Below are 27167 nucleotides of genomic sequence, written 5' to 3' on the forward strand. Positions count from 1 at the left end.
CCCTTACAATTGCTGTCTGAATTCTGAATAGCCATAGAGCTGTTGGCCAATTGGCTTCACCCCAGGTAGACAGTCTTTGAATGCCTTATGAATAAGAAATGCATTATTTCACATTGATCCTCATTCTAACCCATCTTTGTTAAAAATACTTCCTTTTGATCAAGCCAAAATTTGTTTCAGTTTCTATTTATACCATCAGCCCTTGTTCCCTTTTACCCTTCCTCCATTATTGCCAAAGCCACAGTAGAGTCCTTCTGATATCTGAAAACAGCTTCCAGGTTCCTTCCAACCCAGTGGCAAGACCAAAATGTAATTACTAATCTGAGGAACAAGGTGGACTGCAGCAATGCCAAGCCTCTTGGATGTCAAGCAACTTAATCTTTTCCTAACTCTTCTCCCTCATGTTTTTTTTATTCTTTTTCTCCTTAATCTCCAGGTCTAACACAAAGTCACAAACTCCTTCATAAAAGCAGGTTACAAGATTTCATTTCTTGTCTGTGATAGACTGGCTTGTATCAGACAGATTCTCATGCTCGCTCTGCTGCCTGGCTGGAGTGCAGAGGTGATCTTGGCTCACTGCGTCCTCCACCTCCTGGGTTCAAGCGATTCTCCTGCCTCAGCCTCCCAAGTGGCTGAGACTGCAGGCGTGTGCCAACATGCCCAGCTAATTTTTGTATTTTTAATAGAGACGGGGTTTCACCATGTTGGCCAGGATGATCTCAATCTCCTGACCTCATGATCCACCCACCTTGGTCTCCCAAAGTGCTGGGATTACAGGCATGAGCCACTGTGCCCGGCCAGAAAAAAAGGTTTTTACAATTATTGAAGATCTACCAAAGAAGGCAGGACATATGAGCCAAATTTCTGAAGAGAAATGAATTGAGAAGCGCCCTCCGTTCATGATTGCTCTTCCCTTCGTGTATTCACTGAATCATATATAGCAGCTCAGACTGAAAAGATAAGCATCAGACAGTAGCTAAGATACTGTAAGGCCAAGCAGAGTTTTAGACAGTCTCATGTGGCTGAGGAGACAAATAGAAGTTCAAAGCTACCAAGGCATCAAGGACATGAGGAGATGAGATCCTGGAGAGAAGAGATCAAATAAGTGAACCCAATATTCAATGCCAATTTCTCTCAAGCCATTTGTGATCTGTAATCAGCAACTGAGGGGCTGAGAAACCTAACCAAAAAGTGCCTATGAGGCTAGAAAATTTAAAAAGAGCATTTTAGCACTCTTACAGTGCTAGGGAGACTTGAAGACCACCAAGGAGGAGACCTGGTAAACATTTCAGGCTTTAATTTGGGACACACGAAGTACTAAAGCCAAAGAATAAAAGCAAGTAGGGAATTTATGAACCTTCACAGAGAATAGAACCGAGCTTCAGATACAGATGACCTGCCCCCACCCTAATTGACTAAGTAAACCTTAACTGGAAAATGATAACATCATCCAGAGACTACAGTTTTTCATAACAATGGGTGACATTTAATAAGAACTAACTAGACATTCTAGGACATAAAATGAAATAACTAAGAACCAAAATAAAAAACAGATTATAGAAACAGATTCACAGCTGAACCAAAATATTGGTGTTTTCAGACACAGATTTTAAAATAACTGTGATAAATATCTATAAGGAAATAGATCAAAAATGGGAAATTTCAGCAAAGAAACCACCTTGAGATCTATAAAAAGAACCAAATTACAATTCTAAAACTAAAAATATATAACTAAAATTAGTAAGTTGTATTTAACAAGAGATTAAACACCACTGAAAGAAGGAAGAGGCTGGAATGATAGATTAGAAGACAACACCCAGATTATAACAAGAGAGAATATTTTTAAGAGATGGAAATATAGAAAAGAGTGTAAGAAACATATGGGACGATGAAAAGGCCTAATATATTTGGAGTCCCAGAGGAAAAGGAGAGAAAAAAATGTGGCATAAACAATATTTGAAAATTACTGGCTGAGAATTTTCTAAGACTGACAAGTGACATCAAGCTACAGATTTTCAGACAGCCCTAAGCAGGATAAATGTATACTCAAGCATACCATACCCAAACTGCCAAAAATCCAAAACCAAGAGAAATAGTTAAGGCAGCCAGAGAAAAACCCACATTATTTTCAAATGAGTAACAATAATACATAGATAACTTATCAGTAGAAATTATAAAAGTGATCAAAGTAATAATTGTCCATTTATTATCATTTATCAAAGATGCATGTGTAATCTCAGGAATAAACACTAAAAGGATAGCAAAAAACTATATAACTAACACAATAATGGAAATAAGAAAACAAAGCTAGGCATGCTGGCTCACACCTGTAATCCCAGTGCTTTGGCTGGCCAATCTGAGTGAATTGCTTGAGCTTAGGAGTTCGAGACCAGCCTGAATAACATGGCAAAACCCCCTCTCTAAAAAAAATACAAAAATTTGCCAGATGTGGTGGTACACATCCATGATGCCAGCTACTCATGAGGTTGAAGTGGGAGGAGTGAAGAGTGAGTACCACTGCACTCCAACCTGGGCAACAAAGCGAGACTCTGAAAAAAAAAAAAAAAAGAAGGAAGGAAGAAAGAAAGAGAGACAGAGAGAGCGAGGGAGGGAGGGAAGGAGAGAAGGAAGGAGGGAGAGAAGGAAAGAAAAAGAAAAAAAGAAGAAAACATACTTGATTAACTCGAGCTGAGCATGGTGATGGGTGCCTGTAATCCCAGCTACTTCGAAAGCTGAGGCAGGAGAATCGCTTGAACCCAGGAGGCAGAGGTTGCAGTGAGTTGAGATCGCGCCACTGCACTCCAGCCTGGGCAATAGAGCAAGACTCTATCTCAAAAAAAACAAAACAAAACAAAAAAAAAAAACACTCGATTAACTCAAAACAAGAAAAGAAAGGAGGACAAAAGGGGCATCTGGAAGATACAAATAGAAAACATGTAGTGCACTTAAGCCCCAAAATGTTAGTAATCACAAAAAAGGATAAATACACTAAATCCTTATACTGGAAACAAAAATTGTAAGACTATTGATAAGATCTTAATGTCTATATATATTTATATTATCCTGAAGACAAACATAAAATTTCTGAATTGGAGAAGACTATTATTACTCACAGCAATAACGACAGCAGTTTCCCATGCCCAATCTCCCACTGAGGTGTGGGGCAATGAGACCCAGATGGTTAGGCCTGTGCATGCAAGGCAGGGAGTGGGGTGGTGGGGCGGCGGTATGGTTTCTGGTTTCTGGCTTTACAGGAGAGAAGTTCCAAAATTATAAGTATGGGCATTTACATAGAAACAGATACAACTGCCTTCCCTGTCGTCTTCTAAGAGAGGGAGAGGAGCCTTGTTTTTCTAATGCAAACAAATTTTCTCGGGGAAGAGAAAAGAAAAAGTCTCTACTCTGAAGTGCAAGTATTTGGCTCTTGGCAAGATGAGTTTGCCTATCCCTTGAATAGGAGCAGATGGCTCCATTACAAAGGAAAAAAGTGGTTCCAGGTCTATCATCCTTAGACTGTGAGAAGCAAATGTGTCTGGGGAGAAGAGAAATGCTCCATTGTTAGAGCATGTCAATTTTCTTTGTTCCAAAAGCTCTAACCATGCAGGAACATGGAAATATTCATATTGCTTTTCAATAACTATGATGAAAATAAACAACTATAGGCTACTTACAAGTGATGGACCTTAAATATAAGACCACAAAAAGGATGAAAGGAAAAGAATGGAAAAAAATATACTATGCAAACACTAACCAAAAAAAGATAGTATGGCTATACTGTCTTTAGATAGAGTAGACTTTGAGGCAAGAAGAGTTGACAGAGAAAATGAAATATGTTTTACAATAACAAAAACAATATAAAAACATATATCATATATTTTATAATAAGAAAACGATCAATCCACTGGGAAGATATAAAAATTTTATCTGTGTATCCACCTCATAACATGGCCTCAAAATGTAAAATGCAAAATTTGGAGCAAGGAAAAATAATTTCATATATTTTTCCCAGTAACAGAGTAGGCACATAGAAATAACACAAAGGATATAGAAGATTTGAAAAATATACTTAATAAACCTAAACTAATTGAAATATATAAAAATACCATACCTCACAGCCTCTTGGAGCCAAGGTAGAGTAACCAGTACCAGATATACCCTCCTACCGAAAATAACTAAGAATTTTAAGAAAATTTTACTTTCCTGTTTGTGAAACAATGTTTCTTAAAACTTTAGACATTAAGCAAAAAAGAACAGTGATTTCTGAGAGATGGGAAATAAAGGAGATAAGTGAACTCTACAGCTGCCCTTGGTTCATTGCCTAAAGAGAGTTTCCAGGCTGTGGTGCAAGGAGGGAAACCCAGGAGGAGTCCAGTGATCTCTGAATTGAGGGGATAGATCAAGAGTCAGAGGAGACCAGGGGAGTTAGGGTTCACTCATACCACAGCTCACTAATTCTCTCTTTTTATTTTTTTAGTCTTATTGTATTTCTGTATTTTATTTACCTGTGTATCCACCTCATAACATGGCCTCAAAATGTAAAATGCAAAATTTGCAGCAAGGAAAAATAAATAATTTCATAGCAATGGCAGAAACTCCTGCTATGTATTCAGGTTTCCTAATATTTTCTTGTACAATGTCTAAGCTACCATAATTTTATTCAGTGTATTTTTTATCTCAAACATTGCAGTTTTCATCTCTTGAAGTTCAAATTGAGTCTATTGTTATATCTTTTATGCCTCTACTTTACATAGCATAATATTTCTTTTAGCTTTTTGAACATATGGAATATAGTTATAATAAGTGTTATTATGCCCTTTTGTACTAATTCTACCATCTGGATCAATTTTTATTGATTTTTCTCCCCATTATGGGTATAATTTTAATGCTTCTTTACACAGTTGTTTTTTTATGGGATGCCAAGCATTATAAATTTTATCCTGTTTAGGTGCTGGATATTTTTGTATTCCTATAAGTATTCCTTAGATTTTTTCTGAGATGCAGTTAAAATATTTGAAAACAGGTTGACCTTTTTGAAGCTTGCTTTTCAGCTTTGTTAGATAAGACTAGAGTAGCATTTATTCTAGGGTGAATGTTCTCCACTACCAAGGCAAAACACTTCTGGATTCTGTCCCTGATGCTCTATGAATTATGGTTTCCACTTTGTATAGTGGGAATAGTCACCACATCAGTCAAGTATGAGAGCCATAGATTGCCGCATCTCATCTTTTCAGGTATTTCTTTCCCTGGCCACAGGTAGTTTCCTCAAATGTATACTCTTAGTAGTATCCAGATGAATATTTAAAGAAAACCCTCTGCAGATTTTTGAAGTTCTTTCTGTCTTTCATATGACTCTCTCCTATCCTTCAGTTAGACTGCAATAAGTTAGAAATGTATACTATAAATCCTTAAGAAAACACTAAAATGACAAAACAAAAAATTATAACAAATAGGTCAACAAAAGTAATAAAATGGAATAACAAAAATACTCACAAATAATAGCAGACATCTTAGGCAAATCAAATACAATAATATATAAAAAGGATAATGCTTCATGACCAGGAACTTTAGGTTGGTTTAATATCCAAAAATTAATATAATTCACCATGCTAACAGAAAAAAAAAACAAATAATATAATCCTCTCAATAGATACAGAAAAAGCATTTGACAAAATTTAATGATCATTTCTTATTTTTAAAGTTCTCAGAAAACTGGGAATCAAAGAGAACTACCTCGCCCTGATAAAGTCCATCTGTAATAACCTATACCTAATATCACACTTGAAGCAAAAGTTAAGTACAAATGGCTTTACCAGTGGATTCTACCATGCATTGAAGAAAAAAAATAATGCCGATCATATGCAAACATAGATGCAAAAATTCAAAACAAATTATTAGTAAATTGAATCCAGCAATTTATAAAAAGAACAATACAATTAACTTGGGCTTATTCTAAGAAAGCAAAGTTTGTTTACTACTTAAAAATTGATCAGTGTAATTGATTGTAATTCACCAATTAAAAGGATGAAGAAGAAAAAAATTACATAATTATCTCAATAGATATAGGAAAGTCATTTGCTAAAATTCAATGTCTGTCCTTGTTTAAAATTAGAAAGGAATAAAAAGTTTAGCAAATTAATGACAAAAGGAAATTTCCTTAATTTCATAAAGGACAACGACAAAAAAATTGCAGCAAACACCATTCTTAATGATAAATATTGAAAGACTTACCTTTGATATCAGGAGTGATGCAATGATGTTCGTTTTCACCTTCCTTATTCAACATTATATTGCAGGTCTTATATAGTCCAGGGCAAGAGGCAGAGGAGGATAAAATAATTGAAAATGAATATATAGGATAATCTTGTAGTTCATAAGCATGATGATTGCCTTTTCACACTCGTATGAGATGTGCCTCCCTTGAACCTTGTTATGATGTTGGCACATTACCCATCTGATGTGAAAAAGAAAAATAAGGAAAAAAATAAATAAAGCTGTCACTTTGTGTATTTGAAAACTGAAAATAATGTACAAATAAACTGATAGAGTTAAATTAATTTCAATTCTATCAACAAGTCAAACGAGGTCACAGCTCAACATGCAAAAATTAATTGTATTTATGTATACAACCAACATTTTTTTAAAAAATTATAAAATATCCTTTTCTGTAGCATCAAAACATGAGTACCGTAAAATAAATACAACAAAATATGTGCAAAACCTGAAGACAAAAAACCAATATGAATGATTAAGATAAATTAAAGAAGACCAAAACTGGTGGGTTAAGATAACATAGTTACTGATTGAAAAAATCAATATGGTAAATGTGTTAATTCTCCCCAAACTGATAAAACATTCATTGTCATTACAATCAAAATTTTCAACTTTTTAAAAAATTTTGAAGACATTGACAAACTGTATCCAAAATTTATGTAGAAGCGCAAAGTATTAAAATAACTAGAAGAATTTTGAAAAATAGTAACAAATTTGGAGGTCTTAAACTACCAGATATTAAGATAGATTATAAAGCTCCTGTAATTAAGATGCTTGTAGAAAGGGCACAAAGTTAGCCAATGCACAACAGAACAGAATAGAGAACCCTAAAACAGACTAATGTGTGCTGTCATTTGCCTTATCACAAAGGCAAGATGACAGAACAATGGGAAATAGTCTTTTAAAGAAATGAAGCTTAATCAATTGAATATTCATATGAAAAAAAAAAAAGCAAATTTTGATCCCTACCTCACACCATACACAGAATCAATTTTGGATGTGTTGTAAATGAAAAAGTGAAAAGTAAAACAATGAAGCTTTTAGAACATGGGAGAACATGTTAATGGCTTTGGAGTAAGCAAATATTTCTTAAACAGGGCACAAAACACATTAATCATGAAGAAAAATATTGGTAATGAGCTGTTATCAAAATTTAAAACTTCTGTTTATCAAATGATACCTTAAGAGTGAAAAAGCAGGCTGGGTGCGGTGGCTCACGCCTGTAATCTCAGCACTTTGGGAGGCCGAGGCAGGCAGATCATGAGGTCAGGAGATCGAGACCATCCTGGCTAACATGGTGAAACCCTGTCTTTACCAAAAATACAAAAAATTAGCCAGGCGTGGTGGCGGGCACCTGTAGTCCCAGCTACTCGGGAGGCTGAGGCAGAAGAATGGTGTGAACCCAGGAGGCGGAGCTTGCAGTGAGCTGAGATTGTGCCACTGCACTCCAGCCTGGGTGAAAGTGTGAGACTCCATCTCAAAAAAAAAAAAGAGTGAAAAAGCAATTCACATAGTAGGAGAAGGTATTCACACTATACACTGTGAATAAATTCATGTCCAACATATATAAAGGAATTCTACAATCAGTAGGAAGAAGTATACATATTTCACATTTTCCAACAGAAAAATGTGAAAAATATGAATAGGTACTGCACAAAGGATGATATGCGTGTATGCAAAAAGCCTATGAAAAGGCACTCAATTTCACTAGTCATTAGGGAAATGTAAATTAAGAAACCACAATGAATTACTACTACACACTCACCAGAATAAAAAAATTTAAAACACTGATAATAACCAAGTAATGGCAAAGATGTGGAGCAAATGAAACTCTTATAGATTGCTGGTATAAGCATAAGTTGGTAAAACCACAAGTCTGCTCCTAAGTATATATCTTAGGAAATGTCATGTAGAAAATATATGTGGAAATGCACGCATATGTGTACAAAATAATATTCCTAATAGCAACACACTGGGTCAGGGCAGGAGGAGTCCATCAATAGTAGAATGGATAAATAAAGTGTGATATACTCACACAGTGGAGTAGTACACAACAACAAAAAAATGAATTAGTGCTACTACATACAACAGCGCAGATTTACCTTATAAATATAAAATGGAACAAAAGAAGTTACACAGAGAAAAGCACATACTGCATGATTCTATTTGTATAAAATTCAAAAGTAGGCAAAACTCATCTGTAGCAATGGAAGTCAGAATAGTGGCTATGTTTAATGGGGTTAATGACTAAGAGAGGCATGACAGAAGTTTGGGGCTACAGGTAATAATGTTCCCTGATCTGGATGACAGTTGGTTAAATGACAGTGAAAATTTGTGAACTTGTACACTTGTAATTTGCACGCTTCTTTGTATGCATTTTATACTTCAATTTTGTAAATGCTTGCCAAAAATAATAAAAAAGGTTATAAACATCATCCATAGCATGATTCTATATATGTAAGTTTGTATAAATAATATGTACTAAGCATAATATATAAAACTATATCTAACAAAATGCTAACAGTAATTGTACCTAGGTGCTGGTTTATGAGTCATTTTCACTTTCTTCTTTATACCTTTTTGTATTGTCTGAATACTTTCAATGAAAATGTATTGCTTTCATAAAAGCTAAAATAAAGTTCACATTTTTAGATGGTACAATGGTATTGTGGTTATGTTTAAAGAATAAGAGTTCTTATCTCCAAGAAACACATAACTGAAGCATTTACAGATGAAATAATATGATGTCTAGCAGGGGGTAGGGAGAAGTAGGAAACATAGATTTTTTTTTTTAATGGCCGTATGTTGGTAATTGCTGAGACTGAGTGACAGTCCATGGGGATTCATTATACTTTTTCCTCTACCTATGTGTGTTTGAATAATAAAGACTTGAAAAACAAACAAACAGTCTTTCATAAACATAGAACTTATGCATAGCAGACATTACCCATAGCAAAAGCTATGCATAATCTGTATACAGCCGAGAGAAGATGGATTATTAGAGAACATTTTCTCAATAACTGGGTGGAGGGCAGCTGGATTCCACCAAAAAATGTTGTCATGGAGACTGTGTTCATGCCTTGTTAAAGGTCCTCTGGGATCCAAGCCTTGTTCAAGAGTCCAGCCTTATAGAAAAACTGCCCAAAGGGAGGAAATTACTCATGGGACCATAGACTCGCACCAACCTAGAAAGGATCTAAGCCCTAATGGAGAGTGCAGTCGTGCAGAAGATGGACCACCAATACCTGAGCCTTCTCTAGGGCTTTTCTGAAAGAAGACAAAGGGCAACTTCTTTCACAGAGAATCAGAACCTACCTTAGAAGTTTTTTGCCTTTTTAACTCTGGGAGTAAGGTATCAGGACAGGAATTGGTGAGGAGATGGGGAGAAGAGAGTCTTGTTGCCTTAGATGAAAAGGCTGCTGTGAGTTCTGGCCAGACTACAGGCCCTTGGGTGCTGTCTACAGTGGCCCTGGGATCCCCGCTCGGATAATCTGATTGGCTCTCATCCTAACGTTGGTCTACTCTTTGGTCACTTAAGCCTGATCCAGCCTTGATCTGAGTACAACCATACCTCAAATTGTCTTTTTGACCAACCTTGTGTTGACATTCTCAGATGCTATAGTCTTTTCTATAACCTCTTTTGACTAATGGATAAAAGTACCACTAGCTGAATTTGCAACAAATTTCAAGTACAGGTCAAAGACCTTAATTCCTTTTGGAGAGGGATGTTAAGTAGGAGGAGTCAGTAAGGCAGCTGAGAAACCTTCTAACTAGGGAAAAGCCTGCCATGCTTCACAAAAACAAGAATTAAGCTGCTGCCTAAAATTTATGTTTCACTTTGGCTTTTAATCTGGGAACAACCTGGAACTTGAGGATTGATCAAGGACAGCAAACTAAGGCATTCTCTAGAACAACACTGTCCAATTGAAATACAATGCCAACTACAAATGTGAACCACATATGTAATTTTACATTTTCTCATAAGCAATTTTATTTATGTATTTATTTATTTATTTATTTATTTATTTATTTATTTATTTATTTATTAAGACAGAGTCTCGCTTTGTTGCCCAGGCTGGAGTGCAATGGCGCGATCTCGGCTCACTGCAAACTCTGCCTCTCAGGTTCAAGTGATTCTCCCACCTCAGCCTCCCGAGTAGCTGGGATTGCAGGCACCCGCCATCATGCCCAGCTAATTTTTGTATTTTTGTGGAGATGGGGTTTCACCATGTTGGCCAGGTTGGTCTTGAACTCCTGACCTCAGGTGATCCACCCACCTCGGCCTCCCAAAGTGCTGGGATCACAGGTGTGAAACACCACACCCAGCCTCATAAGCAATTTTAAAAGTAAAAAAGAAGCAGGTGAAATTAATACAGTAGTCAGTTCTTTAGTCTAATATATCCAAAATATTATTATTTCAATATGTAATAAAAATGTTAATGGAATATTTTACATCTCTTTTGTACTATATCTTTGAAACCCAGTGTATATTTTATACTTGGGGTACATTTCTTTCAATTCAGAATAGCCATAATTCAATAACCCAATAGCACATGTGGCTAGTAACCATCTTCTTGGACAAGGACAGCACTAGAAGCCAAGGAGGGAACTATCCTGTTCTGACTACCAAAGACTATTATAGCTGAGGAACTGGACATTCCATCATAAACTGTCCTAACATCCTCCACGTGCCAGCCATGCACAAGCCCTGGAGAAATCACTGGTGAGCTTGTTCTATTCAAGTCCTGAGATAATACTGGATCTACATGAAGCAATAACTGACAATAGTTATGGAATGGGTAAAAATGTTATCAAGCTGTTCCCAGAATCTATTTTATTCATGCTGAATGATGATACTTGGCTATTTCAATAAAGTTGAATAATTTATATATTTAAAGTATAATTGACATGTAAAGGTGTGCTAACATCTCTTAAAAGTCATTGGAAACCTGGTGGTTCCAACCACATGACCCTCTCTCAGTGAGGAGCTAAGTACTCAAAGGAAAATATAATCACACTTCCACATGCAAAACTTGTGGAGGTAATCCCAGAAAATGAAAAGATCTCAATGAAATACCAGAAAGATAAATCTGGGAAAAAATATAACATGATGCAATCAATTGCAGTTTGAGAGTAAGGGGCAATGGGCAGGATGACGTGATGAAGCAGTGTGGGCTTTGCAGCAATACTGTTTGACCTTGAGATGTCTCGAGTCTCTATTCTCTTCCTTATAAAATGGAATAATGGTGTCTGCTTCTCAGTGGCTATAAGGATTAAATGAGGTAAAACACAATGCATAGCAAGTGCCTTACGCAGGGTAGATGCAAAAAAATGGATTATTTTCTTTTTGTTATCAATCAATATTTGTTCAATAGCCACTATGTAATAGACACTGAAAAAAATCACAGCATATAAAGAGGTATTAGTGGATGTAGGGTGGTGAGTACAACTCATAGGGCTTGTCCTATCTAAGAAAAGCTTCTACTCAGCTCTGTGACCCAAGACAGGATTTGTTGCTTGTGTACCCCTCACTTAGGGGTCTCTAGAGCAACAACACATTAGCCTCAAGAGTTTAGCTTTGTCCAATCCCTTGAACATTATTCTGGCTTTTGACAGACATTGCATTCAAGGAGAGGTTGGGAAAATTTCTAGAGTGTGCAGAGGGCCAATGAGGATGTGTCCACATAACTTAAAGGTGCAGAATCCAGGAAAGCCCAATACTACAGGAATGAAAGTATGGCAAGACAGAGACAACTACCAAAAATCCTCTGTGACTTTCTGGATCACCTCTTTCTCTTGCCTTGCTCCACACTGCTCTGGAGTGCCCATTGTTTTCCAAGCTGCCCAGTGCCGAGCAGGGGACCACAGTACCATGATGAACCAGTAATTTCTGGAGAGCTGCAGCTAAACAGTGTCTCACCTGCTGCATCAGATCTCAACAGAAGCACAGGTGTGGAACAGGGGAGCATATTGACAGTCTACAGGTACACGCCTAGAGATACAAGATTTAAGCACCAGCTAGTAAAGGGGTTGTTAATGTGCAGGGTTTTATGCTTTTGTTCTTGTTCAGCCACTTGGCTTTGCAATGAGAACCTCTACCTGCTCCCACCCACTTCCCTTTCCCAGCATCTGGATTCTCACTCCAGCAGTCACCCTGCACCCTTCTGTGGCACATCTGCAGAGGGCAGGCCATGACCTTGGGTTTCTCCTGGCCTGCTGATCTCCCAACAAGCCAGAGGTAAGCAATAGCTCCTGGGGCCGTGCATCTTACCCAAGGTAGGTGCCTGCCAGTCAGATCACCAACAGGGATTTAGTACATATGAGGCCCCATGCTGGACATCAGGGATATCACTGTAAATGAGACCTAGGAGGGGACAGCTAAGAGACAGTGAGGGAGATAAGAAAGCCCAGATCATAGGAGAGGTGGAACTGACTACCTTTGAATCCTACCATGAAACACTGCACCTTTCAGGCATTGCCTAATTTAGCCTTCAGCACAGTTCTGTGAAATAGAAACTGTTACCCCATTTCACAGATGAGAAAATTAAAGCGACTCATAGAGTGAAAATAATTTGTCCAAGGTCCTCTTTACAGGATTCGTCAGAGCCGATACTGGAATCCAAGTCCCTCTGACTTTAGTAATGCTTTCACTACCAAGTCACTACACTTTATGTGAACATCTACCAGCCTCTTAGACCCCAGCAAGTGAACCTACCCAAGAAATTCAGTAGAATGTGTATGGAAGGGGCAGTTTTGGTGGAATTTTCCTTTTCCTCATGGGAAGCCTCACTCAGTTAAATCCCTCAGCCACTGTGATTCTGTGCCTGACTCTCTGGCTCATACGCAAAGAACATTCATCCCATGAGACTTTCACCCTGCATCTGCCCAGTCACCTTTGGGATCTGCCACTTCCCACACACTGTGGAGCAGGCCCAGAGCAGCTGCAATGAGCCCCAGCCCAGCCTGGAAGCTAAATCATCAGTGACCCAAGTCTTCTCAAACCTGAAAATCTTACAGCTGGAAGGAGCCTTCAAGGTCATCTCATCCAACCCCACATAGTTGGAGTCATCTCTGTAGGGACTCCAACTGCCTCTCACTCTCCTTCTCCTCTTAAGAAGTTTCCCAGCCTCTGCTCAATGGCCTACATCCAGTGATCAGGAACTTGCCCAGGCCACCCTTGGTCAGCTTTAGCTGGAGAAAGCTCTTTCTTGCATGGAGCCCAAGGCTATCTATGTCCCTTTTGGCTTCTACACATGTCCTATTTCTGCCCATTAGAAATATGGAGAACAAGCATGTCCTCTCATGCACACACAGGCCCTCAGAAGATGGTTATAACACTCCCACCAGTCTTTTGGCCTCCAGACCAGACATCTACATTTTCTTCAACCATCTTCAACAAGACATAGCATTTACCTCCCACCCCATCTTGATCACTGTCCACGCAATGTGCTGCCACTGACAAGTTGTTCAGTGTACTGTACAAGAGGGTCATTATTTGCTACAGTTTTCTCCTCTTTCCTCTCTCTCCTCTCTTTCTTCTCTCTCCTCTCCTCTCCCATCTCCTCCCCTCCCCTCCCCTCCTCTGTCTCTCTCTCTCTCTCTCTGTCTCTGTCTCCTTCTCTTTCTCCCAGGTTCATCACAAAGAAAAAGTTAGACCAGGTGCTGTAGCCTCATTCCCAGGTACTCCCATGGGCTCTGGCAGCCAACTTGTTAGTATCTCTATCAGGGGTGCAGCAGGCCCCCACCACCACCTTGCAGAGACTTTTGCTACCAGCCATTGCTAGAGGAGATGGGCACATACAAGCAGAACAGGTTACATTGCCAGGACTTGGCATGGACTCAGAAACTTCAGAACTCTTTGAGTATTGCTGTGGGACAATCTGCCCCTTTAATTCCACAGTACTACCTTCATCCACATACTACGGGCAGTCCAGGGCAAATAACAACTTCCATGCCAACTGCCTCTAGAGCTGGAACTGCACACTTTATTTTCGAGGATATTTCTCTACTTCCCACCATAGGAGCTCTTCTGTGTTTTGGGGGGCCATAAGAGAAGCTGCAAAGACTTGGCCTAGAGGATGGGACAATATCCTGGACTACATGCTGGGATGCTGAGACTCATGGCAAAGCTATCTGATGACAGCTGTAGAAACTATCCTTTGCCCAGAGATTAAGAGTGGCAGGAAACTTCATCACCCAAACATTGTGGGAAACCCCTCAGATCTGAAGAGCATATCTTGAAGTTCAGCCTGAACCCACACATGTGGCTCGCTCCTGCTCCCCACAGTTACACAATCAGCCTGCCTGACTGCCCACGAGGCTGGAAGCACCGGAAGAGCAAACTGTACTCCTTCTGCAGCCTGGCTGTGACATCACACCAGTTCTGAGGATACATGCAGGGGATGCCAGGGGCAGCTCCTGGGCAGGAGGGCCCTGGGACCGCTGCCTGCCTCACAAATTTTATATGCCATCTAAGACCTGTCCCCAAGGCCTTACAGTCAATTAGGGGACACATCACACCCTGGTGGTGGAGAGTTCAGTCATACAACAGGCAGCAGAGATGGGGTATAGGCCATCCAGGGAGTTAACCACACAGGAAAGGCTAGAGGAGGAATCTTGTAGAGAAAGTGAACTCTCCCAGGAATATAAAAGTGGGCGGTCTGGTGGATCTCTGAAGCCAATACATCCGTTCTAGCAATTCCTCTGATGCTGGCCTGGATAGGGCTGTAACAGCAAACACCCACTGGATGGTACCCTCAGGTCCATGCACCCACCTTCCCCACACCTCTGGCCCAGCCAGCCCACCCCAGCTCCAGGCCTAGAGGCCGGGGAACATTGTAAAAGGAGGACCAGCCCTCTTCATGAGCCTTAGTCTCCCTTTCTGCAGCTTCCCTTCTGCACTCCCAGGCTCCCCTCTCACTCTATCCTCCTGCTTATCCCCCATCTACAAGCACTCACAAAGGGACCTGGCAAAGCTCATTCACAGCTACACATTGCCTTTTAAAACACAGATGCATTAAACTAAGGGAATAAACATTCAAACCTTGGAATCTTACATATCAAGACATGGGTAGGGTGGCCGGGTGTGGTGGCTCACGCCTGTACTCCCAGCAATCTGGGAGGCCAAGGCAGGTGGATCATCTGAGGTCAGGAATTCGAGACCAGCCTGGCCAACATGACAAAACCCTATCTCTACTAAAAATACAAAACTTAGCCAGGAGCGGTGGTGCGTGCCTGTAATCCCAGCTGCCAGGGAGGCTGAGGCAGGAGAATCACTGGAACCCAGGAGGCGGAGCCTGCAGTGAGCTGAGATCATGCAACTGTACTCCAGCCTGGGCAACACAGCAAGACTCTGACTCAAAGGAAAAAAAAAGACATGGGTAGGGAAAGTATTTCCGGTTCAGGAAGTGGGAGGAGATGCTTCCAAGATTCTACAGTCCCACTGCCGGTAGGGCCTCCCCTGGTTCCCATGAGGCTCTCTTCTGGGGCTGGGAATCTCGTCAAAGAACAGCAGGCACCCACTGAGATCCCTTTTCCCTATTCACAGTGTGACTTGTGGGCCAGTATCCACACTCAACCATAGATATCCCTGACTAGATCCCACCCCAGCCAAACCATGGGTTCACCATGTGACCAGGGGAAGGTCTCTTCCCCTCCTTGGCTTGGTTTTCTCCACAGTAAAATAAGAGGCTTGAACTAGATGGTTCCTAAAGCCATTTCCTCTCTGCCCTTCTGGTTGCCTGGGTCTCTATGCCACAGCTGACACTCCCTTATTGGGAGGAAATGTTGTCCTCATCTTCCCCCACACCGTCTCTCCCTGGTGACCTACATTCCCACCCTCAACAGAAAAGAAGATTCACAAAACATGTGCTTAAAGGCTCGGCTTTTTTTCAGGCCCTTTCTTTGCAGGCACTTGGGAGACACCGGTGGAACAAGAACTGGGAAGTAGGAAGAAAATCTCTTTAATATCACTAATAGATCAATTTGGTATTTTCCTCCTGGCATAGGATGAGGAGCGGGGAAAGGAAGTCCCAGAGGTTGAACTTGATGCCCTAACCCAATTAGATCCTAATTTGAACAAACATCCAGTCCTGAGTTCACTCCAGCACAAGATACATAGACAGAGAGAGGCCAGGGTCACGCTTCCTTTCTTGCCAGGCTAGGGTGCACCATCATTTCCCAAGAGGGTTGGCAAAGGGGTTCAAGCTTCATACAAGGGGCTGGACTCACTCACCACTAGGGACCCTTTCAGTCCTGGCATCCTATGAGAAGTGGGGCCCAGGTGGTCATTTCCCCAGGCCATTTTCTTGAAGTAGCTGCAATGCCCGCCTTATCTGTCCTGGCTTGGAGACCTCTGCCAGCCAAGGGCCCAGTTTCCAAGGCTGGATGGCCATGTGGGTCACTGTCAGCATCACCACCACCCTCTACCACCCACCCCTCTGTGCACACACTGGCAGATTCCTATTTATGGACCTGGGAGAGGCAAGCAGATCGGGAAACAGCCATTTCTATGCTAACTGCCCACATGTGGCCTGAGGGTTGAAAAATGAATCAGTGAAACTGCTCAGAAATCAGGAGAGCTGGAGTTCCTCAGCCCTGAAGGAGCCTGGGCCACCTGGGTCTGACCTGAATTTGAGCCCTGGCCCCGGACGATGAGGGCCCTTCCAGCTGGGGGAAGGACTGCCAGCCCTGGAAGCCAGCGGCCACTGTGACTGCACTTGGAACACTGCTGTGCCCAAGACTGGAAAAGCACTTGACCCCCTTAGCACAGTCACAACGGCACACAGCCAGCCTGCCCTTGCCTTCTCCTTGTCAAAACTGACTCTCCTAGAGGAGAAAGCCATGCCCAATGGAAGAAGTAAACCCAGGTCTCCGGAGATGGGGCTCTTCTAACTGTGCCACCATATCACCTGGGTTATGCCCCTCTCTGGGCCTCAGTTGCCCCATAAGGGGGTTAACCTATACAACCCCAAAGCTCTTTCAACAGGATGTCCTCCTAGCAGGCGATCTGATAGGCTCATTTACAGTGAGGTACCCCTCAGCGATAAAGCTGAAGTATTTCCTCTCCAAACTCAGCTCTCTTCTAACAGGGAGAAGAAACTCTGCCAGAAGCATTAAGGGACAATGACAAACTTCAGGTGGAAGCTCGATCCAGCTGGTGTACCCTCTTGAGACAGAGAAAAGAGGTGAGAGATGTCTTCTGATAAGGGTGAAAGGTTTGACCTACAGTAGAAACTGCCACCTCACGATTTGGCTGAGTCCCTCCCCAAAATAGGCAGGAAGAGGGAGGCAGTCATCAGCCTTGGCCCCAACACTCCTGTGGGCAAGTTCAGGAAGGGGCAGGTGTCCCCAGATGCCCCCACTGCCCACTGAGCATCAACCCTGCTGCTGGACTGTCCACTGCGGACTAAGGGGCTGGCTACTCCCTGCCAATGCCATGGCTGTGGGGGCGGGATTTCCTACAAATCACCCTGTATACAAGAGACACTGGATTAAAATAAACACCAAGGGCAGACTTACAGGATGGAAGCTAAAAACAGTAGCTGTAACCCAGAGGAAGGGGCTGGCACAACTAGGGGGAAGCAAAACCTACCCATTTGCTTCAGTGATTAGGAAAAAGGAGCTTGGGTTGATTACATGTGGCATATGAATATCTGGTCTTTTCCAATACTTCTGGCTAAACCACCTGGTGGCCCTGCCCAGCACCTAGTTAATCATACATGGACTTCCCTCTCTCCATCTCCTCCTTGTCTCATGTAATAACATCCAGCATTAAGTCATTATCTTAACCTATATGTCAGAGACCCCAAATTTTGTCCATATGCCTTATCCCATTTAAATATTTTTGCATTTTACTAACAAGAAAATTAGGGCTCAGAAAGATTAAAAGACTTAGGTGAGATCAGACACGCAACAATTGGATTTGAACCCAGGTCTCATCCAGACTTTACATCCAGAGCTCTTCCACTGCATCAGAGCTGCTGAGCTGGACTGGGAGCAAGGTGGAGAGTGCCCACTTGTGAGCAGGCCTCAGTCAACTCCACCAGACAGGAGGGCAGCAGGGCCAGCACTGTTGGAGGCCCTGGAGCACGTGGCATGGCGGGGGAGTTTCCCCGCAAAATGGAGCAGGCGGCCAGCATGTTCATTACCCAACCTTATTCCATCTCATAATAAATGGAGCCCCGGAGGGCCAGGCATGATGGGGTGGGGTGAGATGGGGAGCGAAGACTATTACGGGATTTTAACCTTCGTCTTCTCTTTCCGGGCCTCTGGAACAGCTGTTCCACAAAATGGATCTGTGCAGACAATCATTTTTGCTGCATTACTTAATATACAGTTGCTCTCGGCAAGAGATATAATTGACTTGCTTAACTAATCAATCTTTCTATAAGCATAGCTGCTTTTCCTCTCCCACTGGGGGAGGAAAGCAGGGGGAGAGGGAGAAAAAGAGAAATTGTGAGGAGCAACCTTTGGCATGAATTACCGTGCTCTAACACCCAGCTGAGCTTTCCGAGCTGGGGGGCAAACATTACTGTAAAGCATTCCCATCAAGGTTTCTTCTTGGACCAGATGTGGTCTGTGGTGGCCTGGGGTTAGCAGTCACCCAGCATGAAATAGGGGCACAAGGGCCAACAGAGGTCAAAGTGGGCTGTGGCCCAAACAATGCAAAAATCACTTTGGGTTGTCTTTGGAGTGACTTGTATATTTGGTAAGATGAATGTGTTCGATGACCAGGAACTTCCCATCTGTCAAGTCACGAAGCCATGGGCAAAACCTCACTTGGGCTGAGCAAGAAAATATCCATCTTCCCCCATATTTCACCCCTGACCCCCACCCACTTGACAGCTCAATCTCCCCATTTCTCTTTTTCTAGGGGATGAGCAGCATCCGTGTAACCCAGGAAACCCCTCCAAAGCAAAGGCCTCACACCCTTCACAGATCAGTTTCCTCATTTCTCCTCTTCTAGGGGATGACCAGTGTCAGGATCACCCAGGAAACCCCTTCAAAGCCAAAGCCTCTCTCTAACATATTCTGTGTCTGACTCACCCCTTCTCTCGATTCAAAAGAGGAAACTTAACACTCCTTCCTTTCTATCTCTAATCTCCATTGCCCTCCACACCTACACACACAGGCTCCCCAGGGCACTGTTGAATTTGGGGTTATCATTCTAAATGCAGAGGAAATAAAGCCAGAGAATGAGTCACAAAGTAGAGAGGATGACTGAGTTAAAATGATGATGGTACCCAAATAGCTAGATGATGAAATCAAAAATGCCCCTCAGGGCCCATTCCCTACCCGCTCCCAGCACTCCTGACTTCAGATGTCATCATTATTTGTCTTTGTGCATCTCCCCAACTCCGGGGGGAGCTTTGTGAAAGCAAGGATTTTGACTTGAACATCTGTGCTTCCTCAGTGCCTAGCACTCTGCCTGAAATATAGTTAGGCATTCAATGTAGGATTAATATAGAATGATGAAGACAAAAATCACAAACATTTGTATTTCAAAAGAATGATTTCCTGCCACCCAGTGGGAAATCTTTCTCTAGAGAAGAGGCACAAGGCTCATCTTCTGTCTCATTCAACATTTTTACCAATGGCATGGATGAAGTTTGAGACAGGATGATTACCTAATCTGCATATGACAAACTGGAGAGATTAATTGCATGGCAGACTAAGACTCTCGCTATTTCAGCAGGCTAGAATATGAGCCAAAATCACACAGATGAAATCTAGTAGTGTGAAGTATGAAGTCCTACATTTAGGTTCAAAGAATCAACTGGACAAGTCCAAGGTAAAGGAGTTCTAGCTTGGCAGAGATCTATGAGAAAAAGATCTTGGGGTCTGAGTTGACCACAAGCTCAATATGGTGGTACGGCTACTAAGAAGAGAAAGAAATCTTAAATGGGTACAATTAGAAGGAAGAAAAAAACAGCCTCTCTATAGTCTACCTTGGTTGGGCCCATCTGGACCACTGGGTTATGCTCTATCTCGTTTTAAAACAAACAGAGGAAAGTGACCAGGATACCTAGGGTTTAGAAACAGTGGCAAAGATGCAAAGTGTTCCACTGAGAACAATTGACAGTTTCGAATATGAGATAGGCTGCCACTTGAAGGAGAGGGAAGCTGAGACCTACCTGGCAGTTTAGAGGTTTAAAAGATGTGCTTAGGAGCCAGGGTGCCTGTGTTCAAATCTAAGCTCTGCCATTTACTAGGGGGGTGACCTATGACAAGTTTCTTGACTTCTCTGTACCCCATTTTCCTCATCTATAAAATAGCTATAATGCTCCTTATCTCCTGGGTTAAATGAGTTAACATATGCAAAGCTCTCCAAACAAAGAGAGGCACAAAGTAAACACCCACTGAATGATGGCTATGACTAGGCTGTGACTCCACAAGGCTGACCAGGATGGAAGTGTAGAAGTTCCCAGAAGGCTTGTTTCAATGAAGCAAACTTCCTAACAATCAGAACTGCTCCCTGCATGGGATGGGGAGCCTGTGAGGTAGACAGCTGCTGGTCACTGGACCTGTCAAACAGGCTGGTCGCTGCGGACGGGGCCTCTGTACTGGGTGAAAGCCTGGACAAGATTTCACATAAGGTCTCTTTCAACTCTAAGTTTCTTGAGGTCTTCAGAAAATCTCCTTGCCTTCCTTACCCCTTTGGGGACCTAGTCAATGTATTTCTTTTATATGGGAAATATAAGAATAGAGCATCAATGGGATTTCATAGTCTGCAGAGGGGCCTTTGAGCCCCCACATCCATCCATTGGAACAGATGATGCCTCGCCCCAGCAGAGCCTACAGTAAGAGTCGAGTCAGTCTGATGCTCCAAGTGCTCCCCTAGGAGGGAAGAAGCACCCTGCTGGTGAGCACCTGAACCCCACAGGTTGGGTCTTGGCCCCCCAGCAATAAGTGAGAACCAGAAAAGTCCAGGTACCTGGGGGGCAGCAAGGGGGGGACAGAAATGAGATTTAATTACAAGAGCCACCAGGCTTGCTCCCCTGGGAACAGAGGCTTTACAGCCATGTCCAAGGGTGACATTTCAGTAGGTCCAGGGAAAAGGGTTTGCTTTCTTTTCATGCCTCTGCCTCCCAGAGCAGACAGCTGCCAGCGTTATTTCAGCAGAGAGGCTGCTTTGGCATGGCAGAGGCCCCATTAAGACTCTACCAGTGGGATGGGGGCAGGAAGGGTGGGGGGTCATGGATTGAATTACTGACCCAGGAAAGGGGGACTAGGTGGGAGTGGTCTGATGTCCTGGTGGCTGCAGTGAAGTTTTGTGCTAAGGAAACCCTACCTCGGATCCCACTCTCCATGGGCCTTGGCTTGGAATTAATAATAATGATTTTACCACTCTCTCCCAGGCTGACCTTGAACTAAGTTGTTTCATCTGTTTGAGACTCAGCTTCCATATCCATAAATGAAGGCCTGTGCTGGTCGCTCTCAAATGCCTCTTCCTGTTCAAACACAGTTTACCAAGAAACCTCACATCCTTGGGTTAACTCTCCCCCAGCCCAATGAGGCAGACAGGCCAAACTGTAGAGCTTACAGAAGGGGAAACTTTAACAGGGGTAAGCCACTTGACTAAATTCCCAGATCTAGGAAGCCAAAGAAGTGAGACTAGAGCCCAAGTCTGTTGGACTCCCAAAATGGGGCATTTTTTTGCAACTACTTGCCCCTTCCTCACCTCACATAGGGCACCCTGCCCTCATGTCCCTGCCTCAAGTCCTATGCAGTCTCCTCTCTGATCAAAGTGTTATCCCACTCATGGTTAGCTAGGCAGAGGCAAGGAAGGGGACAGAGACTGGTGAGGGTCAGAGCCAGCCCCTCTAGTTCTTCAGACAGCAGTTGGAATATACCCTCCCTGGGAGGCAGCCTCCTGGCCCCCTTAAGAAGATCGATCGGGGTTTGATGCTGTGAGCGCACAGCCTTGTTTTGGCACATTAGCCATGAGCCTTTCTTGGCAAATGGATGTGATTTTTATGGCATTGTTTATGGAGCTGAATTTTCAGATTGATCATCTTTTTTCTTTCCCAGGGCTCTTCTGGGAAGGAACAGAAACACAGCAGCTCCTCTCCCCCTGTGGGTGGGAAACTGCTCCCTGCACCTCTGAGACAGACAATGGCTCAGGTCCCTCCCCACCACAAGCTCCTCCACAGTTCCCCAGGAATGCCCAGGTAGAGCCCCAGAGCATCAGATGCCTCCCAATCCTCATCCAATTACTCCCCTGAAACTTAGAAGCCCGTGATCAGGAAAAACAAGACCACACAAATAAAACCAAACCAAACAAACAAAAGAAAATCCAGTCCCTGGGCTATTTCATGTTGGCTGGGTCATCTGGGTTGTCTGCTATTCCAATCCTCCATGGAGCCATTTATCTCCTGGTAATCTCTGAGCAGGTGTCTTCCCATCAAACCAACAGGTGCCAGCTCCCTTCCCTTTATTCAGTAACAGAGCAGCGACAAGCTTCCTCTTCCCCTCTGCCAGCCCCAGGTCTCACCTAAGGCTGCAAGCCCCACTCCAGGCTGTATTTGAAAAGGCCTGCCTATTATTCACACCTCAACCTGAGGCCCCCAGCATCTGGCCATCTGCTGTTCCTTGGTAAGAAACAGTGTGCCATCATCACCAGCAGAACCCCACCCCACTCTCATCCCAAACCACTAATCTCCCTTGGGGGCTCAGAGAGTGAGAGCAGACCTGAGAGATAACACAGTCCAACTGTCACCAATAACTACCTAGACTAGTGTATCTGCATCCTCTCCCAAACCTTGGCTCTTCATTTACACACAACAAGGAAGTGTTCTGAGGTCCAACATACGTTCCTCCTCTTATGGATTCATGAAGCATATTAATACCTGAAAGGCACCCAAAGTCCTACAGGGAAGCAACATCTTCTACTGTGTTTAACCCAAGGTTCTCCAAGCTTATTTCACCATGAATTCTTTTCTTTTTATAATGATTGCCATTTTGGAACAAAGTTTCCATGGAATAATTTGGAAACTCTGGACTAGCTGATTCTCTGGGTGCCTTGCAAACCCTGACAGCTTATGATCCTATAAGCTAAACCTCTACAATACTATTGAACATAGCCGAAGATAAGCACACAGCCTCTCTGGGCCCCTAAGGCATGCCTCTATGGTCAATCAAGCCCTGCCTATGGGGCCATTGAAGATCTCTTCATTGCTGTTACCTACCAAAAGGGGAAAGGTTTCAAGGTCTACATCCCCGAATCTCAATTCTACCATTAATCTTTCTACCCACTGCTCCTACAGCAGCACAACTGCAATGGGCTCTTATGAGATGGATTTCAGTTCTATCTCTGCCACTTACAGGCCATGGGGTTTCTCTCAGGCAACTCATTGAAGTCCTCTGAGCCTTAGGGTGGTATGCATAGTTCTAAGATGGTTCCCAAGCTCTCCATTCCAAGTGTACCTCCCTACACAATACCCTCCCCTGGAGTGTGGAGTATCACTCACATGATTAGATTACCAATTAGTTGACTTTGTGTTAATCAAAAGGGAGGTGGTCTTGGGTGGGTCTGACCTAATCAGGAGAGCTCTTTCTAAAAAGGTAGTCAGACTCAGCAACTCCATAACTTGGTATCTACCCAAAGGAAAATAGATCAAACTGCCAAAAAGACACCTGCACTTACATGTTTATCACAGCACTAGTCACAATAGCAAAGACATGGAACCAACCTAGATGCCCAATAAGGGTGGATTGAATAAAGGAAATATGGTACATATACACTGTGGAGTACTATATAGCCATAAAAAGAACAAAATCATGTTCTTTGCAGCAAGATGGATGTAGCTGGAGGTCATTATCCTAAGTGAATTTTTGCAGAAATCAAAAACTAAATACCACATATTCCCACTTGTTAGCAGGAGCTAAACATTGGGTACACATGGACATAAGGATGGGAACGATAGATACTGGGGACTCCAATAGATACTGGGAACTCCACTTTGGGGGAAGGTAGGAAGGGGGCCATGGATTGCAAAACTGTCTATTGGGTACTATGTTCACTATTTGGGTGACGAGTTCAGTTGAAGCCTAAACCTCAGTATCACACAATATATTCATGTAAACAAACCTGCACGTGCACCCCTGAATCTAAAATAAAATAAAACTTAAAATTTCTAAACTGCCCAATTACTATATTTGCACATCCATTTATGCAAACCTAGATGATTTTAAATTTTTTTTACTTAAAAAAATTAAAAGGTGGTCAGAGCCCAGCAATCCCATTACTGGGTATATATCGAAAGGAATATCAATCATTCTATTATAAAGATACATGCAGGCACATGTTCATTTGAGCAGTATTCACAATAGCGAAGACACAGAATCAACCCAAATGCCCATCAGTGATAGGCTGGATGAAGAAAATGTGGTGCATATACACCATGGAATACTATGCAGCAATGAAAAGGAACAAGATTATGTCCTTTGCAGGGACATGGATGGAGCTGGAAGCCATTATCCTCCGCAAACTAACACAGGAACAGAAAACCAAACACCACATGTTCTAACTCATAAGCGGGAGCTGAACAATGAGAACACATGGACACAGGGAGGGGAACAACACACACTGGGGCCTGTGGGTTGAGGGAAGGGGGAGGGAGAGCATCAGGAAAAATAGCTAATGCGTGATGGGCTTAATAATACTTAGGTGATGGGTTGATAGGTGCAGCAAACCACCATGGCACACGTTTACATATGTAATAAACCTGCACATCCTGCACATGTGCCCCGGAAGTTAAAATAAAATAATTTTTAAAGTCTACAGCAAATATTATACTTAGTGGTAATATGTTGAAAGTTTTCCTATTAAGGTTAAGAAGCTGTACTGGCAATCCTAGCTACTATCTGATCATTTCTGATAATGATCAGAAATGAAGAAATAAAAGTTTCATTATCCCAAAAAAGAAAAAAAAACAAAAAGGTGGTCAGAGAATGCTCCCAACCCCCACCCCGTGTGCCTCAGCAAGGAGGAGCAAATAGCCACAGTGAGTTGCCTATGGATGGAATCACTGGGCTGGGAGCTGAGGGTGGCCTTCAGTTCTGAGAGCAACCTCAAGCCAACAGTCAGCAGAAAATAGGGACGACCGCAGCAAAGTGAATTCTGCAAACAACCCAGATGAGCTTAGGAAGGGACCCTCAGCCTCAGTGAGATCACAGCTCTGGCTAACACCTTGCTTTCATGCTCGTGAGACTCTGAGCAAAGAACCCAACTACATCATGCCTGGACTTCTGACCCGTAGAAGCTGTGAGATAATAAACAAGCATTGTTTAAAGCCAGTAAGTTTCACAATGTGTTATGCAGCAAGAGAAAACAAACACTCTATTCTGTAAGGTGGAAATAATACCTTCCTCGTAAGTGCTTGTGAGGATCCAACGGTGTGGTGTCTGTTACATGCTCAGCACAGAGCCCAGCACATACTAGATGTTCAATCATCATTTTAAAACAAAGATAGTAACAACATATACTATTTGAGATTATTGTGAGGATGAAAAGGCAAAAATGCATGTAAAATGCTCAAAAACATTCGTGCCCACAAAGATGACAACTATGATTGAAGCATAGGACAGGCCATGAGAGGTGACAGCAAAGTTATATAAGATCATATGTTCCTTTCCAGCCACAGCCTTCCTCCTGCCCAGGAGGACCTTGAGCTCCCTCTCACAGCACACTTGATTGCTACCCGCCACTGCCGGATGCCTTCCAGGAGCCTGATCACTTCTATTCTTTTGTACATCTTTTTCTCACTCTTTTAAGACTGTCCCTGGGTGTGCCTTAGGATTAAGGTGTGCTGATGGGGATTTCCACCTTGTGAAAAAAAAGAAACTTCTCAAGAGTAGATTAACAAATTTAACCTCCTGGAAGTAAGAAGGTCTTACCAAGTTTCCAAATTCTACTCACCAGAAGGTCAAAGCCTCGTTGACAGTTCATCATGATTTTATTCCATTGCAAGCATTTATTGTGGGCCAACCACATGTTGAGCCTGTGCTAGGCGTTGAGAATAAGACAGCAGCCCTGGACACAAGAAGCTCCCAGTGTGTTATGGGTGCAAACAGATAATGACAATGATAAAATTTCCATCAGGGACCCAGCCTTGCACTGGAATCCTGCAGACCTATGTAGCTGTGCATATCAAAGGAGAGACAATGACTATTTCTTTGGGGCAGACATCGGATGCCCAGTTATAAGATTTTCAAGTAGTTCATTATCAAGACTGCCTGCTAATTCTAAGGAAGCAACCACCCACTTAGGGGAAGAACACACCCTGAATGAAGATAGAGTACCTGAATCAGGTGTACCTGTGGATCCAAGGAGGAGAAAGTCAGCAGGAAGAAAATACTGAGAGCCACACTGTGTGAGCACTCACCATCTCCTACCCCTGGCAAAAAATAAAGAGGAAAAAACTTGTGTGGAAGTCTCAGAGAGGGACATTCTGGCAAATTTATTCAAAAGTCCAAGGGATTACTAAGTACCTGGACATTGTAGATTACAAATGCAGGGTGGGGAGCGCGGGGCGGGGGGCAGGTTGCAATTTTAAGTAAGCGGTTAGTGTGGTCTCATCAAGAAAGTGAGACTTGGCCGGGCGCAGTGGCTCACACCTGTAATGCCAGCACTTTGGGAGGCTGAGGCAGGCAGACCACCTGAGGTCAGGAGTTCAAGACCAGCTTGGCCAACATAGTGAAACCCCATCTCTACAAAAATACAAAAATTAGCTGGGCATGATGGCGGGTGCCTGTAATCTCAGCTACTTGGGAGGCTGAGGCAGGAGGATCGCTTAAACTTGGGAGGTGGAGGTTGCAGTGAGTCAAGATTGCACCATTGCACTCCAGCCTGGGCAACAGAGTGTGAGACTGTCTCAAAAAAAAAAAAAAGAAAA

General features: G+C 42.7%; 1 long non-coding RNA gene and 1 other non-coding gene across 2 annotated transcripts in view, besides 1 other annotated feature; one reads left to right on the forward strand and one right to left on the reverse strand.

The window, feature by feature from the left end:
- Nucleotides 1-222: 222 nt before the first annotated feature.
- LOC107987166 (uncharacterized) overlaps nucleotides 223-27167 on the reverse strand; it is a 160015-nt gene continuing 133070 nt past the window's right edge. The window contains exons 2-3 of the long non-coding RNA XR_001748403.2: nucleotides 6229-6451; nucleotides 223-5606 (exon numbers count right to left, since the gene is read on the reverse strand). This is a non-coding gene — a long non-coding RNA (uncharacterized LOC107987166). The remainder of the gene's footprint in view (nucleotides 5607-6228; nucleotides 6452-27167) is intronic.
- On the forward strand, nucleotides 6356-6457 carry LOC124902834 (small nucleolar RNA U13). The gene has a single exon (XR_007063019.1). It is a non-coding gene; the product is annotated as a small nucleolar RNA U13 (small nucleolar RNA).
- Nucleotides 16848-17348: an enhancer, noted in NCBI's record as "H3K4me1 hESC enhancer chr11:116201553-116202053 (GRCh37/hg19 assembly coordinates)". NCBI's record gives its function as "activates a minimal SCP1, AML or CMV promoter by ChIP-STARR-seq in naive H9 embryonic stem cells {active_cell/tissue: H9 hESC(naive)}" and the evidence as "EXISTENCE:reporter gene assay evidence [ECO:0000049][PMID:30033119]".

Source organism: Homo sapiens, chromosome 11 (genome assembly GCF_000001405.40).
Source record: "Homo sapiens chromosome 11, GRCh38.p14 Primary Assembly".
In the NCBI taxonomy this organism is placed as follows: Eukaryota; Metazoa; Chordata; class Mammalia; order Primates; family Hominidae; genus Homo; species Homo sapiens.